Consider the following 20,090-nt stretch of genomic DNA (forward strand, 5'->3'; position numbering starts at 1 on the left):
TTCAGCCTCCCAAAGTGTTGGAATTACAGATGTGAGCCACTGCACCTGGCTATTATTCCCATTTTAAAGATGAGGAAACCAAAGCACAGAGAGGTTAACACCCTTGCTTAAAGTCACACAGCTAGCAAGAGGCGCTAAGATGGGAACAAGACAGTCTGGCTCCAAAGATTAATAACTGAGATTCCAAATGATGACCTCAAGTCATCAAGATAAGTTTAATTACATTCCAACCTCAGTTTGAGAAGTCAGAGAAGTGTGAAATCCATTTTAGAAAGGCCTCTGTGCAAACCAGTTAAAATTAAAAACAAAAAAAGGATTGGCTCTGAAACTCAGCTAACTGGAAAAATCCGCCAGTGTGCAACACTTTCTCCCTCTAACCCTGATGGCAGATAAGTGAGGCATTGCTGGGGGGTTGGCAGCTGATTTTGTTCCTTAGCCTTATCTGCCCTCCCTAATACAATCTAGACCCAGAAACATTTGCCAAAAGTCCACTGTGATCATCTGCATTGTTGCACCATTGTAGACTCCGTGGGGGATAAAACAGGCCTTCAGAGAAATTTCTAGACTGAAACGAAGGCAAGCTTCCTCCCTAATGGGTACCCATGCCACAGGGAAGTCCTTGAGACAAAGAGTGTGTAACTAACCGCCTGGGGGCTGTGCCTTGGAAGGTCACTCTGCCTTTCGTCAACAGTCATAGGAACAAGTGGGAGCTTGTGAATGGTTCAACCCCTTGATATATGTGTGAACCCAAGAAGAGGCTGGAGAAAGTGGCAATAAGATGGACAGGGCCAGCAGGATAACAGAGCAGCAAATTCTGGCTGAGGGTCAGAGGTTCAGCTATTTGACAGCCTCAGCCTGAGAGTCGTGCTCTCTGAGCACATGAAATGCCGTCCCCTTGGCCGGGCATGATGGTGCACAACTGTAGTCTCAGCACTTTGGGAGGCCGAAGTAGGAGGATCGCCTGAGCCCGGGATTTCGAGACCAGCCTGGACAACATGGTGAAACCCCATCTCTACTAAAAATACATAAAAATAGCCATGTGTGGTGGTGCGCACCTGTAGTCCCAGCTACTCAGGAGGCTGAGGTGGAAGGATTGAGCCCAAGAGGTGGAGGTTGCAGTGAGCCATGATCATGCCACTGCACTCCAGACTGGACAACTCCATCTCAAAAACAAAGAGAGAGAGAGGAAAAAAAAAAAAAGAAAAGAAATGCCATTCCCACCAGAAACATCACTGGAATCAATCACAGAGAAGATAAAGCAGCTCCTGCAATATATAATTTCCTACAATTTCTGTCTTTCACCCTATCTTTTTAAAAAACATATTAAGTTCTTCTAAAACATCAGGATTGCCTCCATTTGCATCTCTCCGCATGTTAATGGGGCTGCTGGGGAGATTATAGCAGACAGCCTTGCTCTCCAGAGTGGCCTGGTCTGCTCTGGCATCTTAGACCTCCCTCCCCTGAAGAGGGCTGTGAAGGTTGGAGGTCAGGGGGAGAACAGAAGAAGGCTGTTGGGTCTCAATGGCAGCTTCCAGATTCAGAACAAGTATGAGGTGTGTGCAAAATTTAAAGGGGGCTCAAAATTTCGGTCATCAAAAAATTTTTTTTAATGTGACATTTAAAAAATCAAAATCAATGCAAAAGCTATAATAAACAGAATATCAAAATTTTAAATGAAGACATTTTATAAGTGAAGCAGAGGCACAGAAAAGTAACTTGCCCAGGGTCACATAGGGAGTAAGCAATGGCTTTTGGTCTGGATCCAAAGCTCAAGTTCTTAATCACCGTGCCTTACAACTTACATGCCCTAAGAAGCACTTTTAAAGCCAGGAACAGTGGCTCATACCTGGAACCCCAGCTACTCAGAAGGCTAAGGCAGTAGTATGGTTTGAGGCCAGGAGTTTGAGACCAGCCTGGGCAACATAGTGAGACCTCCATCTCTAAAAAAATAACAATTTAAAAAATTTAGGCCTGACGCTGTGGCTCACGCCTGTAATCCCAGCACTTTGGGAGGCCAAGGTGGGCAGATCACTTGAGGCCAGGAGTTCAAAATCAGCCTGGCCAACATGGTGAAACCCCGTCTCTACCAAAAACACAAAAATTAGCCAGGTGTGGTGATGCATGCCTATAATCCCAGATACTCGGGAGGCTGAGGCAGGAGAATTGCTTGAACCCGGGAGGAGGAGGTTGTAGTCAGCCGAGACCGTGGCACTGCACTCCAGCCTGGGAGACAGAGCAAGACTCCGTCTCAAAAAAAAAAAAAAAAAAAAAAATTTAAAAAGAAGGACCACGGTACATTTATTTTCTTCTCCTTAAAATGTGCTGGATTTTCCAAATCTCCTAGAATTAACATATTGTCTTTTTTAGTCAGAAAAAAATAAGACATCAATGAAAAAGAAAAGGAATCAGCACTCCAGTAGGAGGAAACACACCAGGAGCTGGGGGTGATTCTGTGAGTAGGGCCCTCTAGGAGGAGGAGCCTGGAGCTGGGCTCACGGGATAGGATGGCAGAAGCAGGAAACCTGGGGCGTCAGCGAACACCCCACAGGCTGGAGGTTATTCATACACAGATGGTGGGCACAGAAGCTGGTCTGAGAGACTGGGCCTGTCTTTATGCATTGACTGTAATAACCATGTTGAGGCCAAGCTAGCTTTTCTTTGTTGTCTTAATGACTGACTTCCCAAACAATCCAATCAGTTGTGCATCTGTTGATTTGGTCATTCAGAGGCTGAAAACCCCAGACTGACCGTTTTCCCTCCCACTCACCGAGCCTGTGTTTCTGGGATACTAACCAAAATCCATCAACTGATGTTCAAAAGAAAAACAGGACGATTTGGATATGAGGATGTTCACTACAGTATTATTTATATTGTTTCCTAAAAAGAACAGCTTTGATAAATTATAGCCCATCCATACAATAGAGAAATAACATGCGGCTATTAAGTGCATGTTTTCTAAAAATGTATAATGATACAGGAAAAGGCAGGCTATAAAACTGGATACTATATTATATCAATTATAAGAAAAATTACGTACATGGACACTCAGCAAGAAAGCCTTGGAGGAAGCACATCAAAATGTCAACAGTGATTATCTCTGGGTGACTTTTCCATGCTGTTTATATTTTTCTGTATTTTCCAATTTGTCCATAATGAATATGTTATTTTTTTTTAGCATCAGGAAGAAATGCTTTTGCTTTGTTTTGGCTTTTTAAAAGCCAGATAGATTATTTCTAAGACCAAAAAAATTCAAACTAACCTTAAGAAGGGTGATGTTTGAATGCTGGTTACACGGGATGCTCATATCGGTCTCAGCCACAACACACGACTCTCCTATGTATCAACCTGCATACTTCCGAGTCTCAGAGAACCTTCACCACCTCCCCCACTTACTTTGACTCTTCCTTCTCATCTCTCTTTCTCCATGGCTCTTCCTTCTTCCCTCATCTTTCAGGTAGAGAAACTGGCCTCTCCCTGAAGCTTATCTTTGGAAAAACAAAAGTTTTGATTGTGTTGGGATCCAGGCTGCTAAGTTCCCCAGCTATGAGGTCCCACACAATCTGGCCCCAACTCCCACCATCACCACCCACAGTCTCATCTTTCCGATTCCTCATCCATCACTCCTGCCCCAGGGCCTTTGCACTGGCTGTTCTGTCTGCTTGGACCAATATTCCCCAGGTAACTGGAAGGGTTCATTCTCCCACCTGTCTATATATATTGGCATATTACATAGTATCTACACATTTTCCTTCGGGATAGTCAAGAGTGTGATAAAATAGTTGTTGTAAGAAGAGGCGCTGGATCTGCCAGGGCTGAGGACCACTGCTCTCATGTGATTGCCGGTTGGCATTTCCATCTCTCATACTAAATTAAAAATTCTGGGACAGCAGGGACTCAGTCAAAGCATATTTCCTGAACTGAAATGAAAGAATACATGAGCACGCTGGTGACACCTAAGGGGTGGGGAGGCCCCCGGGGCAGTTATGGTGTGAAGTTATAACTCCCTTTGCAGGAGAGAGATGAGGCACACCCTTCTTCCTCCATCACTGCCTCCTCCATGACCACCGCCACCATCCTGGCTGGGACGGCCAGTCAGGTGGAAGGACCTGACTAGGAGGTGGTAAAGACGTACTATCCTGAGCCGGGAAGTCCTGACTCCAGAGCAAGGCAGGTCTGGGTGGCTGACAGGTCTCTAGGGGGAACCAAGGGGCTGGGAAGTGGAGGGCAAAGAGCTATCCAACCCTCTGTATTGACAACAACCCCTACCTTTTCTTTTTTTTTTTTTTTTGACAGGGTCTCACTCTGTTCCCCAGGCTTCAGTGCACTGGTGCAATCATGGTTCACTGCAGCTTTGACCTCCCAAGCTCAAGTGACCCTCCTACCCCAGCCTCCTGATTAGCTGGGACCACAGGCGTGCACCACCACACCCTGCTAATTTAAAAAAATTTTTTTGTAGAGATGGTCGGGGGGGGGTCTCACTATGATGTCCAGGCTGGTCTCGAACTCCTGAGCTCAAGCTATTCTCCTGCCTTGCTCAGCCTCGCAAAGTGCTGGGATTATAGGCGTGAACCCCAACCTCCACTGCTCAAAGCCACCCTGCCTGCTGAGGGCAGTAGCCCCACAAGGGACAGAAGGTCGGTGACTGTTCCCTGTACCGTGAGGGCTCGAGGCTCCAGGGGTGAGGGAAAGACTGAGGATTAGGAGTTCCAAGGCCTGAGCTAGAATCCCAGCAATCTTAGGCAGACCACTAACTTCTCTGCATCCGTAAAACAGGGTTACTCACACCCACCCAGCCCCCCAGCCTTGCAGTCAGAATCAAATAAGACTAAATAAGAGGGTCTCGGTAAACCAATGTTGGCCAGTATTACAGGCAGTAACAATCGTTTTACTGCTGTATTACAGGCAGTAACAATCGTTTTACTGCTGAGCAGAATTGAACCTTGGGTGATTCAGAAGGCCCTTCGGGAGACCAACCTCATGACTGTCAACATCAAGTACCATTCGATAGTATTTGGATCAAATTCTGATTGTGGGAACTTCTTTGACATTTAAATTCCAGATGAACAAGGCTTTTCTATAACCTGTCAAACTATGCTGGTGACACACTGGAGTCCACTGTCATCCTTTGCTGGTTCCCACCCGCCCACGTCATCCCCATGGATGAAGAGAGGGTTTGTCTACTTCGGCAAAATGTATTCATTTGAGCAGGAAGCCCTGCTCTGGTGAAAAATCATCTCTCAGACCCCACCCTCTTCCTTTGATCCTCCCACTGAATGCTGAGCTGGAAAGACGAAGCAAAGCTGTTCAGATGTAATTATTTTAATTCAGCCAGATGCTGGGAATTAGTCTCTTTTCCTTGCAAGGATTCTAGGGAGAGACAGAACTCAGCTAAAGATGCCCCAGAAGAAAAGGAGCTGACAATCTCAGGAGGAAGGGAGGGCGCTCCCTGCCCCCGACATAGACCCCTGGTGCTGGAACAGCTTAAATCAAGAAAACTGCTGCTATCCCTGGGTGAAGGAGTAGGGAGGACTGGGGAAGAAGGAGGAAGAGGAAGGGTTTAACACCTGATAGGTATTCAACCTAAGACTGCTTACCAACCCCTGGAATGCTAGACCAGTAACGGCCACCAGCATTGTCTAGAGCGTTAGAATTTCCAAAGCGCTTTCATGTATGTGACTTTATTTGGTTATAAACTAGGAAGAAAGTCACCAGCTGGGCTAGAAGCTTGGGGAAACACTGAATTTAGGTTCAAGGAATTCAGATGCACCCTTTCCTAGGCATCTGTTAGACACACTCACATTCATGAACTCCTTTAATCCTCACAGCAACCCTATCAGCGCCAAGCTGCAGGTGGAAAACGGAGGCTCTGGGAGCTGCAACAGCTCTGTTCCACAGGGCAACCGAATTCTCTCCCTTGTCTGAACTCCAGTGGCATCCAGATCCTCAGCAGACACGTGTGTTTTGTCCATGACCTGGTGCTGAACACTCGGTCTGTGCTTCCTAATCATTCAGTCACATATTCGTGATGGGTCCTCGGGAATGCCTACTGCACCCCGAGTCCTGCCCTGGGGGTGCACACTGGGTGGGGTTCATTCCCGCTGTCAAGTGCCTTCAGATCCACTGAGATTAACAGATAAGCAACCCGGGTGAGCAGTCACATATGAATTTTTTTGGTCATCTCTAGACTGCCCTGTACTATCGATTCTGTGTTCGTGTGTCTTATTCTTCCACTGGAAGTCCTTGGAAACAGAGTTTGTAACACCACAGTCCAGTGGTTAAAGACCTTGGCTCTAGAACCAAACTGCCAAGTTTCAAATCTCTTCTACTCAGTGGCTGTGTGACCTTGGACCGATCAATTAACCTCTCTGTGCTTCAGTTTCCTTATCTATAAAAGTGAGGAAAATTAATGAGGACCATAATTCATCAGATGTTATAACACATCATACTACATACTACATTATATATTATAATATGTTAGGTAAGCAAGTCAATACATGTAAACCACTTACCACAGTGTATGGCCCAAAATAATGACTCAATTAATGTTCTCTAACACTGTTATACCTCTATACCAGCAGCTCTCAAAGTATGGACCAGGAACCCCGAGGGATCCGTGGGGTCAAAACTATTTACATAATAATGCTAAGATGAAGAGTTTTCCAGAGGTTATCTGACAGGGATTTCACAACAGATTGACTACAGAAGCAGCTATGAGAATCCAGATGTCTTCCATTAAGTCAGACGTTAAAGAGATTTGCAAAAATGTAAAACAAGGCCACTCTTCTCATTAAATGATTATTGGGAGTTATTGTTGTTTTTCAAAATATGTCTTATTTTATTTATTTATTTTTTGAGATGGAGTCTCGCTCTGTCGCCCAGGCTGGAGTGCAGAGGAGCCGAGATTCCAATCTCAGCTCACTGCAGCCTCTGCCTGCCGGGCCCAACTAATTTTTTGTGTTTTTAGTAGAGACGGGGTTTCACCATGCTGGCCAGGCTGGTCTCAAACTCCTGACCTCGTGATCCGCCCGCCTCGGCCTCCCAAAGTGCTGGGATTACAGGCGTGAGCCACCGTGCCCGGCCCCAAAAAAAATGCGTTATTTATGTTGACCCATAATGGGTTCAACTATTGTTATTTTTAAAGGAATTAAATTATTTTTAAAGGAATTAATACATACATTAAAATTCTGTTTAAATTTCTAGTAGGGTAAATATTGATTGATAGCTGATCCGTAGCACTGACCTCCCAGGAAGGTAGGAAAATCTTGTTTCTCCTGGTCATCCCTCCCAGCTCCATGGGAAGCTGTGTTCCCAGGGTAGCCCAGGCTTTGTTTACACTTGCACCCTGCCTCTCCCTGCATCTGTCCCAGCCTCCTCTTCTCTCCAAGCCCCACCACTTTCCCACTTTTATAGCCACTCTTAGGTTAGATGGTGGTGCTTTTGGGGCTGAGCCCGGATCTTAGAATCAAGCTGACCTGGAGTAGAGTCATGGCTCTGCTGTTTGTCATCCTTGAGCAGGTGACTTTGCCTCTCTGAGCCTCAATTTCCTCATCCATAGAATGGGAGTAACATTTTAGTACCTGCCTCTTAGGATGATTGTCAAGAGCAGCGATAACTTATGTAAAGTGCCTATTACTTGACAAATACTGACCATCACCATTATGATACTTTATCATTATTATTAATTATGAGGTCCCCTGAGCCCCTTCTTTGTGTGCTCAGCTGTCCCCATCTCCTGCTCCCCCACAGTCCTACAGTAAAAGCAAGACCAAGGGCTGCCTGGGACTGCAGACTTCTTCCCAACACATGCGTACGCACAGACACACTCCATCCGCCCCATGCAGGGTGTCACCCTACTCCAGAGCTGAAAGTGAAAAATGACAGCTAAATGTCAAGCACCCAGGCTTCCTTCAAGACTGAAAAGGTCTTTGCTGCCACAGTGTTGGTGCCAAGGCAGTCTCGGCTCAAGGACACGTGAGTGGTGGCTGTGATGGGGAGGGGAGGGAGCCCTGGCATGGGAGCTAGGGGACGGGGCTCAGCTGGGCTCTGCTGCTGACTGTGGGTGAGCTCCTTCTCCTCTCCGGGCCTCAGTCTGCTCAGCTATAAAAAGGGAAAACACCCACTAGCTCTGATGTTGCAAAATTCTATGACAGCCAGGTCAGCATCAGGAGCCCTGTCTACCCTCGGTTCCCTCCAGGGGCTCAGGGAGGCCAGCCTGCACTCCATCACCCCCACCCCAACCACGTCCTGTGCTGGAGTCCTCTGCCACTCACCCTACAGTTGCTGAGCTCCTCAGCGGACAGGATGATGGTGCCACATTTCTTTCCTGGGACACCACTGGGAGAGGAGAAGATGAAAGAATGGAAAGCCAGACAAAGACAGAGCCATAAACCTGACACTCCCTCAATCAGCCCCCTGCCCATCCTCCCCCGCCCCCTACCATCCAGCAGATCACCCCAAAGCCCCTGAGAAGACAGAGTCTCCTGAGATCCTTGTGGCAGTGTGGCCTAGTGCACTGCTTCCTGGGACCGGGTCCCCGAGCCTGGAGCTGCCCCACCCCCTGCTCCCCGAGAGCCCACCAGGAAGGGTAGTGCCTGCAGTGAAAGTCCTAGAATTGGAAAAGCATCCAGACTCACCCGGAGGCTTCCAGACCAGTGGTTCTCAAACTTTCCATCCAAAGACCACTTCTGTGGGCAAAAGACCTCATGGGCTAGCCACCCCACCTCACACCCAGCTGACCCCCAGCGTCCCGGGACAGTCCAGCTCTGAGCCACTCTGATGTGTCACGGGAGGGAGGAAGGCAGGAGGGCTGGTGGGCCCTCGCTGGCAGCTTGCCCAGGCTCCTTCCCATGGCTACCTCCCCTTAAATGCCTTGGCTGGGGTCTCCCTGGGAGTGAGAGATCCCAGCCGACTGTGCAGCTCCCCAGTGAAGTGGGCAACCAGATCAAGGTCCGTGAAGTCGGTCCACCCCAGCACATCCCTCCAGGAGGGCAAGTTCTTCGGCTGGGGCTCCACTCAGGGGAACTGAACCACCTCTTCCCCTGGTTAGATAGGACCCCCTCCTTCAGGCACCATCCCAGCCCACTCTAATGTTTGGGACTAAGCCAGAGGTGGGGGAGTCCCAGTGTAGTCAGGGGCCACTGGGAGGGAGAGGAAAATGTCGGCTTGTCCAGCAGCTCTGTGACTTTGGGCTCATTCCTGTACCTCTCTGAGCCTCAGTTTTCTCCCCTATATAATGAGCGTGACTGTATATACCACACAGTGCTTGGCACAGAGAAGGCCCGCAGTGAGCAGCATCCCCCTCCCTGCACCCTTTACTTCACAATTGTGCAACGCTGGTAAAATCCAGCCTCACACCTCAGGCCAGCCACAGGGCCACCAGCATGCTGTCTGTGGAACACACTTTGAGAACCACTGATGGAGCTCTTCCCAGCACCAGCTATTGGAGGGAGAGGCTCTCAAACAGAGGAGGCAGGGGAGGAAGGGAAGCCGGCCCTGGAGGGCTGGCAGGACAGCCCAGATCTCTCCAAATCAGGTGAGCAGAGCGGGGGCCACATCTGGGGCATCCCCTGCCACGGACAGGGGACAGTGCCTGCCAGGTTGTCCCCCTAGACTTGGGCAGCTGAGCTGAGTGCCTCAAAGCCCCTCCCCACCCGCTGGTCTGGTCCTCCATGGTAGTAAAGACATGATTTGTTTGCCCAGGGAGATAGAATCCTCCACGCCAGCCTCCTCCGCCCCATGTTTCTCCATCTGTTCCTCTCTTTGCCTCTGAGTCCTTCTTCTATTTCCGATCCTTCTTTCCCTCCTCTCCAGCCCCAACCTGCTCCCACCTTCTTGGCCTTCCTTTCTCTCTCTCCCTCCCTCCCTGTCTTTGTATCTCTGTCTGACTCCTGCTGCCTCCCCAGTTGCTGCTTCTCTACTCTCCAGGTGAATTAGCATCCATGCTCTCCCTGGGCTGTGAGCATCCCCGGGCCCGCCGGAGGCCCCTTCCCCACCTGCAGCTGGTCCAGTGGCATATCCAGCTGCTGCAACCTCAATTCCTGAGAGCTCTCAGGGAAGGCCAGGGGAGCTCTGCTTACCCCAACAAAATGCCCTTCTGCAGAGGCCCCTCCAGGCAGAGGTTCCCTGCCCTGCACACCCCCACCTCCAGCCCCAGTGGGCGAGTGGGCGTGAGAAAGAAGCCAGGGTGGGAACTCCCCAACCGGGAAAGAAGGGGAGGGAAGGAGGGGGAGGCTCTGCGTTGGCCACATTTGCATGAGGCCAGCCGAAGCCAGATGGTCAGGGTGGTGGAGTGAGGCTGGCCCACCGCAGCTGGCGAGCAAACGAGCAAACGTGAAAAGTGGGGATTCAGCTGGATCTACTCTGTGGTGAGGAGGAGGCGGACATCCAGCAGCCAAAACAAGGGAGGGGAACAGGGGGGAAAGGATAAAGACAGGGGAGGAAAGAGGGGGAGAGAAGGGTGGGGATTGGGGGCCTAGAGAAGCCAGGCCAGGGAGAGAGGAAGGGAACAGAGAGTGCCCAGCCCCGCTATTCATAGACAACATCCCCCACCTGTAAGCCCCACCCTCTCCCTGAAGTCCCAGGAGCCACTGGGGCTTGAGATGCCCAAGCTCTAGCTTGGATGGGGGAGGGGCCCACTGCCGAGTGGGGGCCTCTGTTCAGGGCCCAAAGAGCCTGGGTGCCTAAGGAGGAACCCAGGACTCTCTGTCCCCGGATCAGGGCCAAATTCGCAGTGATGGGAGCAGGGACGAGGCCCAGACTCTGAGGCCCCCTTTGCAGAGCTGGCTGAATGTCTAAGGACTCCAGGGCCAGAGATGTCTGGCAACGTACCCGTTGGACACAGCTGGCATGGGTTTGCCCGTCCTGGAATTCAGGCTGAATGCGCCTATCCTGTGGAGAGAGAGGGGGAGAGAGAGCATGCCATGAGCTGAGTACCCCCACCCAGACAGGCCAGCGCACTTGGCATCCAGATGCTTGGAGACAAGCGGCTGCTCTGGAAGTCATTAAAACAGGATCAAAGCCACAGGCCAGAGCAAGTGGAGTCCTTCTTCTGGGCAAATTCCTCTCCTTCAGTGGTTCTCAAGGTGGGATGCCCAGACCAGCAGCACCAGCATGTCCTGGGAATGTTATTAATAGGAATGTAAATTCCCAGGCCGAGCCCATACCCACAGGATCAGGAACTCTGCGGGGTGGAGCCCAGCAATCTTTGGTGACACTGGTACCTGCTGCAGCTTGGGAACCCCTGTTCTCCCTTTCCAGACTCCGCATCCAGACTGCAAGATGGGGAGACTGCTGGAAGAATCACATGAGATCATGATATGGGCTGAACTGTATCCCCCAAAATTCATGTATTGAAATCTTAATCTCCAGGTCCTCAGAATGTGACTATATTTGGAAATAGAGTCTTTTTTATTTTTTTATTTTCATTTTTATTTTTGAAACAGAGTCTCGCTCTGTCACCCAGGCTGGAGTGCAGTGGCGTGATCTCGGCTCACCGCAACCTCCACCTACCAGGTTCAAGTGATTATCCTGCCTCAGCCTCCCAGGTAGCTGGGACTACAGGCACGCACCACCATGCCCGGCTAATTTTTGTATTTTTAGTAGAGACGAGGTTTCACCATGTTGGCCAGGATGGTCTCGAACTCCTGACCTCAGGTGATCTGCCCACCTTGGCCTCCCAAAGTGATTGGATTACAGGCGTGAGCCACCATGCCCAGCCTGGAGATAGGGTCTTTAAGGAGGTAATTAAGGTAAAATGAGGTCATGGCAGTGGACCCTAATCCAATGGCTGGTGTCCTCATATGAAGAGGTGACTAGGACACAGAGGTGCACAGAGAGATGACAATCTGAAGACACAGAGATGAAAAAGAAGACAGCCATCCTCAGAAGACATGAACTCTGTTGACATCTTGATCTCCGACGTCTAGCCGCCAGAATTGTGAGAAAATCAATTTTTCTTATTTAAGCCACTCAGTTTGTGGTATTTGCCACAATGGTCCCAGCGAACTAACACAGATTTCACAAGCAAAACACTGACCCTCATGCCTGGCCCAAAATAGATGCCCAGTAAACAGGAGCTGTTCACAGGGTTTAGTCAGGAAGACAACTAAACTAAGATATGTGAAATCTTCGATGGGGTAAAAGGTCCACCTCCTCCTCCAACATTGCCGTCAACCTCTGTATTTTATTTTATTTTATTTTATTTTTGAGATGGAATCTCGTTCTGTCACCCAGGCTAGAGTGCAGTGGTGTAATCTCAGCTCACTGCAACCTCCGCCTCCTGGGTTCAAGCGATTCTCCTGCCTCAGCCTCCCTAGTAGCTGGGACTACAGGCATGTGCCACCACGCCAGGCTAATTTTTGTATTTTTAGTAGAGACAAGGTTTCTCCATGTTGGTCAGGCTGGTCTCAAACTCCCGACCTCAGGTGATCCACCCGCCTCGGCCTCCCACAGTGCTGGGATTACAGGCATGAGCTACTGAGCCCTGCCAACCTCTATATTTTAGAACTTGCTTGTCCTTTAAGGCTCAGTTTCAAAAGCCATCTCCATAGGAAGTCTCCCTCAATACTCCCCCACCCCCAGAGGGTGTTTCCTGTCACCAACGGTGGACCAGGTGAGATCAGGAAGGAAACAGACCCAAATGACTAGTGGCTTTGGACCCAGGCAGCTGGGAGTTGGGAAGCACAGACACCCTCCCTCATAGGGCATCTCCATCCTGGCAACCCAGGTAAAGCCACGGGTGGGGGTGCTGCTGGAAAGAGCAGATGCTAATGGGTATGCTACACTCAGCACATGGTTAACACTGAAGTGGGCACAGGGGCAGATGTTCCTAGAGAAAGAATATAAAATTACGAATGAAAACTGTTAGAAATAAGTCCTAAGAGGGAGGGGCCTAGCAAATATGAATGTGAATTTTGTATGCTTTTTTGCAAGAGGCCCTCAAATTCTATAAGCTATAGAGACCCCCAAAACAGGGGTTTTCCCCCATTCTCAATAAATGATAGCTATTTTCACTGTTTTCTAGGAACCCAGAGATGAGACCTTTTGGGGGCCAAGGAAACATTTCCGGGGGCCCTGAAGTTATCATGAGTTACTGGGGGTCACGGGCAAGGATCTGGAAGAGAGACCACACACACACACATTGCAGTTATTATTATTATTATTATTTTGAGACAGAGTCTCACTCTGTTGCCCAGGTTGGAGTACAGTAGCCCAATCTCGGCTCACTGCAACCTCCTGGGTTCAAGTGATTCTCGTGCCTCAGCCTCCAGAGTAGCTGGGACTACAGGTGTGCACCACCACACCCAGCTAATTTTTTTGTATTTTTAGTAGAGACAGGGTTGCACCATGTTGGCCAAGCTGGTCTCGAACTCCTGAGCTCAGGCGATCCATCGCCTTGGCCTCCCAAAGTGCTGAGATTACAGGCGTGAGCCACCGTGCCCGGTTCACACTGCAGTTATTGATCATGGTGAGGGGACAGCGTCCAGTGGGAACTTGGCAGAAGATCTGATGATCTCCCTTTCCCGGCCGCTTTGCCCTGTGGCCTGGATGCCTGTCCCAGTCTGCCCTCTCTTTCCTGGGCCCTGCCCACGAGTGTCAACCTAAAATAATCAAAAGCCTCGGGATCCAGTTAAATTAGTTTATTTAAATGCAAAGTGTGAGGGTGGCCGTCCAGAGAAATATGGACACCAAAGAATGGTGACCAGTGTTCCCCAGTGTGGGGAAAGGTAAGAATCGTTTATACAGGCAAGGGCCCTGCCCCTGGTACTTCCTGAGAAATAGGGACAAGAGAGGTCACCCTCACCACACGGCCAGCCCTGGCTGGTCCCTGAAGACATCATCAGGCTCCACTGTGAGAAGCCTTGGATTCCTCATCCCAGAGCCCGCTTCAGAGTAACAGCTTTTCCCTAAAAGCAAATTAAGGTCAGGGACCATCAGGGACAGGATGGGACGGGAGGAGCCTCACTGTACCCAGCTCTGGCCTACAAGCTGTGAACAATCTTAGGAATATGCTATGTGAGTAGAGCCCTGGGTTCAAATCCCAGCTCCCAGCTCTCCCTCTTCCTAGCTGTGTGTCCTTGGGCAAGTCACTTCCCCTCTCTGGGCTTCAGTTTCTTCTTCCACACTATGATAGGGGTCAGGGTGGGAATAGACTATATGGTGTCTAGTCTATTTCCTCCTGGGCCTTCCCAGGAGATGGGACTCTAATAACCCATCCTGGGTTCCCCTGAAATACCTGGATTAGAAGCCCTGTGAGAGCAGTGAGGCATGGGGTCTCTTTATTCCTAATAACCCTGCAGATGCCAGTCATAGCCAGCTGACTGCTTTGTCCCCATCCTGAGCCAGCCCCCAGCAGAATGGGCGGGAAGTTGGCCTACCACTGGGAAAGCAACCCAGACACTCACGTGAGGGGCTTTTCCAGGCGGCTCCCAGGGGACCCCACAATCTCTCCAAGGGTGCAGAAGGCCTGGCCCAGGAAATCCTGCATATCCAGGGAACAGAAGAGACCAGTGTCACCCACTCTGCTCACAGCTATCCCACCTCCCCCATCGCCCAATTCCTGGAAGCGTGAGGGCCCTTAAATGACAGGACGCAGCGTCGGACACACATTCCATCACAGCAAAGCCCCAGGCTCACCCAGAGGATGGCATTTCAGAAACTATGGAATTGCTGAGCAGTTACTGGCAGAACTCACGTGTTTGGATAAATCAGGACTCTTAGAGTCAACGTCGTATCTGCAGGGAACACAGAGAAACGATGAAGGCAGCTGCGGACGTTCTGCCCAATCCTGCCTGGGTTCTCAAGTTGAGTCAGGGCCCCTGTCCCCCAAAAAACAGGTCCCAACACAGTGAATATTTCTAGGAGTAATGGTTGGAAGACATGACAGGGAGCCTTCTGGGTGCTGGACATGTTCTGTCCTTGAGCTGGGTGACATCAGAGGGGTGGAAACGGATGTAAAAATGCATCGTGGAGTAGGCACAAAGATTTATGCGCTTCACTGTATATATGTTATACCTCATTAAAAATGGAAAAAACTAAATCAATGAGCTCTGTTCACAGGTGGCTAAGCCATCTTACCTTTCACTCCCTTCACTTACAGAGTTCTCCATCTTTGCTCTTTGCAGCCTAGCCTTGGCTGCCCGTGGTGCTAATACCTTGCTTCTGACCTTCCCTTATAGCTTCACCCTACCCAGGCCTGCCCAGCTTGCCCACAGGCCTGGTCACTCAAGAAGGAGGGAGGCATTGACACCTTCACCTCAGCTGGCTGCAGGCAGCGTGATGCTACAGCTGGCCTCCTCCCCTCACCTGGGGCCTGCTCACCGGGGGCCTGATCACCTGGAGCCTCACCTGCAACCTTCCCCCAGCATCTCCCACCCACCCACTGGCATCTCTGCAGCCAAACAGCCATGCCAGGCCCAGATGACTCCTGCTGAGGGATGGTCACTCTCTTATCAACCTTCTCCAAAATGTCACCAGGTGACTTCTCTACAATAGGCTGTGTTGACTCTCCTCAGCTTCAATACCTCCCATCTCTCCCTCCAAAGTCATTTCCTTCCACTGCATTCTTTCCTTTTCTCCCTAAGATCCCAAACCCCCTTCTTTCCCACCCTGACCACTCTTCTGTGGGGCAAAGACTTTTCAAACCATCCCATACCCCATAAAAACAACATCACAAACTCCCCAGCCTGTTTACCAAGCCTGAAATTCCACCCTGATCTTTAATGTCAGGAGAAAGGCACTCTCATGTTCCGACGGATGCTGGATGCCTGAGCCCCATCAGCCAGGCCACCTCTGCAGGCGGGGAGGCTGCAGGGACCCTCTCCCAGAACACGCTTAGATGGAGGAAGCAGCCAGTGGGTACCTCCTGGTTGCCAGGGGAGAAAAGGGCTCCCAGAGGCACAGCCAAGAGTTGCCTTCAGGATCTTTCCTCAGCAGACATTCCCCAGCACCAAGCAGCTTGCCTGATGCCATCCCCAACTTAACTGAGACGAACTGGGGTGAATGCCATTGTTCTCTCTCTTCTTCCCCCTTTCCATCTCTCCTGGTAAGGGTGCAGGCGACTTCAGCTAATTGTCACTTCTATCCCAGGCCAACCCTGGGCTCCCACTAATTTCTCAGCTCCTTCCTCAACCACAGGTCTGTGGTCCTACCTGCCAGCAATCTTCCTCCCCACCTGGCTGCATCTTCAGCACCATCTTCCACTTACAGATCAAAACGGAGGTTCTGCTTCTCCTCGAAAAAGTAATCCACAATGAACTTGCGCACGAAGTCAGGATTGAGCGTGTTGTCGATGACTTCGGTGCGCCCAAACTGCAAGAGAAGATGGAGGGTGAACCTCAGGGCCGGGCTGGTGGGGCCGGCTGGTGGGGCAGGGGAGAGCACTGGGCTCAGAGCCCCTTAGTCCTGGTTCTGGCAGTTATGAAAGCCCTGTCTCTCCAGGCTCCTGACATCCATCCCCTCCCAATCAAAGCACGAGTTCTTCCATCTGACAGTGGAAGCCATGTACAGTATGGCTCCAACCCGTACTGCTTCTTCCCATCTCCATGCAAGCTGATGGTCTTAATACCTGAGCAGGCCCTTCCCTTCACCTGGCCTCCCTGTCTCTGCCAGTGGCATATCCTCATTCCTTCAAGGCCTGATGTAAATGCCACCTCCTCCAGGAAGCCTTCCTGATTCCTCCAATCAGAGAATTTTATTTCTCTGAGCCTCCACCGAACTTGCGCCCACTCCATGACCACCATTCTGAGAATTGATTCCACAATTAGGTGTGTACTTATTTGATTCCCAATTGCAAACACAAGGGCATAGGCAGGGACTGTAGGAGACCACCTCCTAAAAGATCCCCACCTTTTGGTATTCATGCCCTTGCATAATCAGCTCCTCTCGAACGTGGGCTGGACCTAGTGACACACTTGTACTGAACAGAGTATCTCACAAGTCATAGAATGTCACTTCCAAGGTTATGTTGTAAACAACTATGACTTCCGTCTGGGCACCCTCTCTTGCTCTGTCTTGCTTGCTCACTTGATAAAACCAGCTGCCATGTTGTGAGCTGCCTTATGAAGGGGCGGCAAGGAAAGGATGAGGCCCCAGGCTAATACCAGTGAGGAACAGTGGCTGTCAATCTGCCCATCCGTAAGAATTGGAATCCTGCCAACAACCACTGGGTGAGCTTGCAAGCAAATCTTGCCCAGTTGAACCTTGAGATGATTGAGGCCCCAGCCAACACCTTCACTGTGACCTTGTGAGAGACCCTGAGCCGGAGGACCCAGCAAAGCTGCACTCAGATTCCTGCCTGCTGTTTAAACCACTAAATTCTGGGATAATTTATTACTCAGCAATAGCTAACTAATTCAGAGACTGAATTGTCTTGGTTGCCCTTGCAGCTGATATTCTAGAATTTTATACATAATAGGCAGTCAATAATTGAATCCCATTCAATTTTGCAAATGACTTTAGGCCAAATCACTCCCCATCTTTGGGCATCAGAATCACTTGGTAAAATACAGATTGTGGAGGGCCTCACTCCAGAGGCTCTGACTCAGTAGGTCTAGTGGAGCCTGGGAATCTGCATTTTAAAAGTCCTCAGGTGATGCTGATGCTGTGGGTCTGGGGACTCCACTTTGAGAACCACTGGGCTAGGTGGTGTTCCACTGGGATCCAAGTCCCCTGGAGGCTCCATAGGCCATAGAGGAGGGCAGAATGGGCACGATTCTAGGCCAACCATCCCATCAAAGCGGCTCTCTTTTATATCTGCTCAATACAGTAGACATTTTGAGCAAAATTTTTGTTTCAAAAAAGGGGTGAGGGGCTAAGAGGTGAAGTTTAAACCCACTGCATTTACAATAGACTATCATTCAGCCTTTAAAAAGAAAGGAAATCCTGTCATGTGCTACAACATGGGTGCACCTTGAGATTATGCTAAGTGAAATAAGCCAGTCACAGTAGGACAAATAATGTATGTGTCCACTTACAGGAGGTATCTAAAGTGGCCAAATTCATCGATGCAGAAAGTAGAATGGCAGTGACCAGGGGCAGGGTGGAGGGGTATAGGGGGAGTTGTTTATGGGTATAGGGTTTCAGTTTTGCAAGATGAAATGTTCTAGAGACCTGTTTCACAACAATGCAAATACATTTGTAACTCTACTGAACTGTACACTTAAAAATGGTTATGATGCGGCTGGGCGCGGTGGCTGACGCCTGTAATCCCAGCACTTTGGGAGGCCGAGGTGGGCGGATCACGAGGTCAAGAGATCGAGACCATCCTGGCCAACATGGTGAAACCCTGTCTCTACTAAAAATACAAAAATTAGCTGGGCATGTTGGCACACGCCTGTAGACCCAGCTACTCAGGAGGCTGAAGCAGGAGAATCGCTTGAACCCAGGAGGCGGAGGTTGCAGTGAGCCAGGATTGCGCCAATGTACTCCAGCCTGGCAACAGAGTGAGACTCCATCTCAAAAAAAAAAAAAAAAAAAAAAAAAAAAGGTTATGATGGAAAATTTTATGCTATATGCTTTTTTTCCCCACAATTATAAAACAAAAAACATTAGCTAGGCATAGTACCATGCACTTGGGGTCCCAGCTACTCAGGAGGCTAAGGTTGGGGGATGGTTGAGCCCAGGAGGGTGATACTGCAGTGAGCTATGATCACACCACTGCACTCCAGCTTGGGCAATAGAGAGAGACTCTGTCTCTAAAAACAAAAACAAACAAAAAATCCACCACACTGTATGCTCCATGAAGGCAGGGGTGCTGTTCGTTACAATATTTACCAGAGTCTCAAAGTAGTAAGACAGGCAGGTGCAAAGCAAAATATTTTAAATGGGCATTAATCCTTCTTAATAATCTTGAGTGTCAGAGTGTCAGTCTTCCTTGATGGGGCTCTGCAGTCCAGGAAAACACCAGCACATGGGCCCCTCACACATGTGGTAGATGAGGCCCTGGGTTACCTGGGGCTTACCCTGAGTGTCCCTTCTACCCTGAATTAAGTTAGAAACTTCCAAAGGGGTTGGGTGCGGTGGCTAACACCTGTAATCCCAGCACTTTGGGAGGCTGAGGCGGGCGGATCACTTGAGGTGAGGAGTTTGAGACCACCCTGGCCAACATGGTGAAACCCCATCTCTATTTAAAAAAAAATAAAATAAAATTGAGCCAGGCTTGATGGCGCACGCCTATAGTCCCAGATATTTGGGAGGCTGAGGCAGGAGAATCACTTAAACCCAGGTGGAGGTCGCAGTGAACTAAGATGACATCACTGTACCCCAGCCTGAGCGACAGAGAAAGACTCTGTCTCACTGGAGAGGGAAGCTCCCACTCCAGGTAACATGGGGTCATCTGAGGAACACTAGATTTGGCATCTTTTGTCCCTCACTCCCTTGGTGAGTCAATCTCATGTTCCAGTCAATCTCATCGGCTAAATCTCTTCCTTTGCTGTGGCCTTGGTCTGGCCTCATCACTTTCTCACCTTGTCACCTCGACTACCACGGCAACCTCCTAAGGGGCCCCCAGTATGTGCCAATTCCTAATGCTTGGAGCCTCCGCTCCCTGGCCATCCTGTTCTCCAACTCCCCACCCCTCCTGTGTGCGCCCATCATCCTCCTGCATCTCTAAGGCTGCACTTACTCTGCGGCCTGATAATGATCTACTGAGTCTATTTCTACCCCTCTAGATTGTGAGCTTCTCAAGCAGGAGGAGAATCCAAGTTCTCCTCATCTTTGTAGCCCAGGACCTAACACAGCATTTAATACACAGCCGCGGGTTTAGATCATAATAGCTACTGTTTATTGAACACATGCAATGCACCAGGAGCGGTTTTAAACATTTTGTGCCGTATGGATATTGACCGATTTTGCATCTATGTGTAAATTCATTTCAACATTCCTGATCACCTATATGTGTGTGTTGTTTGAATTATTTGAACTGGTTGCAACATCTTACTGGTTTCCTCATTAATTAACAGGCTTTGATAATAAATATTTGTCACGCTAATTTTAAACTTGTATGGCAGTCATGATTTTACCTTTTTAAAAAATATATGCTTTAACAGGTGTTTTTTAAAAATACCCATGCTCAGCCCCAACACAGACCAATT

At 49.6% G+C, this 20,090-nt stretch overlaps 1 protein-coding gene across 17 annotated transcripts in view, besides 2 other annotated features; it reads right to left on the reverse strand.

Annotated features, from left to right (window-relative positions):
* CPNE5 (copine 5) overlaps positions 1-20,090 on the reverse strand; it is a 99,224-nt gene that overhangs the window by 42,988 nt on the left and 36,146 nt on the right. For 12 of the 17 annotated variants that reach the window (XR_007059285.1, NM_001376889.1, NM_001410887.1 and 9 more), the window contains 6 exons: positions 16,205-16,308; positions 14,693-14,732; positions 14,403-14,479; positions 10,828-10,887; positions 8,634-8,684; positions 8,271-8,334 (listed from right to left, as the gene is read on the reverse strand). Coding sequence is in view for 14 of the 17 variants with exons in the window: in NM_001376889.1 (NP_001363818.1) it covers positions 8,271-8,334; positions 8,634-8,684; positions 10,828-10,887; positions 14,403-14,479; positions 14,693-14,732; positions 16,205-16,308 (396 nt within the window). In the remaining 3 variants the exon portion in view is untranslated. Of the gene's footprint in view, positions 1-3,393; positions 3,470-8,270; positions 8,335-8,633; positions 8,685-10,827; positions 10,888-13,622; positions 13,905-14,402; positions 14,480-14,692; positions 14,733-16,204; positions 16,309-20,090 lie in introns of those variants that run through there. The other 5 variants (NM_020939.2, XM_011514769.2, NR_164866.1 and 2 more) reach the window with 3 other exon arrangements.
* Positions 9,695-10,361: an enhancer, noted in NCBI's record as "H3K4me1 hESC enhancer chr6:36761234-36761900 (GRCh37/hg19 assembly coordinates)". NCBI's record gives its function as "activates a minimal SCP1, AML or CMV promoter by ChIP-STARR-seq in primed H9 embryonic stem cells {active_cell/tissue: H9 hESC(primed)}" and the evidence as "EXISTENCE:reporter gene assay evidence [ECO:0000049][PMID:30033119]".
* Positions 10,362-11,026: an enhancer, noted in NCBI's record as "H3K4me1 hESC enhancer chr6:36761901-36762565 (GRCh37/hg19 assembly coordinates)". NCBI's record gives its function as "activates a minimal SCP1, AML or CMV promoter by ChIP-STARR-seq in primed H9 embryonic stem cells {active_cell/tissue: H9 hESC(primed)}" and the evidence as "EXISTENCE:reporter gene assay evidence [ECO:0000049][PMID:30033119]".

Source organism: Homo sapiens, chromosome 6, assembly GCF_000001405.40.
Source record: "Homo sapiens chromosome 6, GRCh38.p14 Primary Assembly".
NCBI lineage: Eukaryota > Metazoa > Chordata > Mammalia > Primates > Hominidae > Homo > Homo sapiens.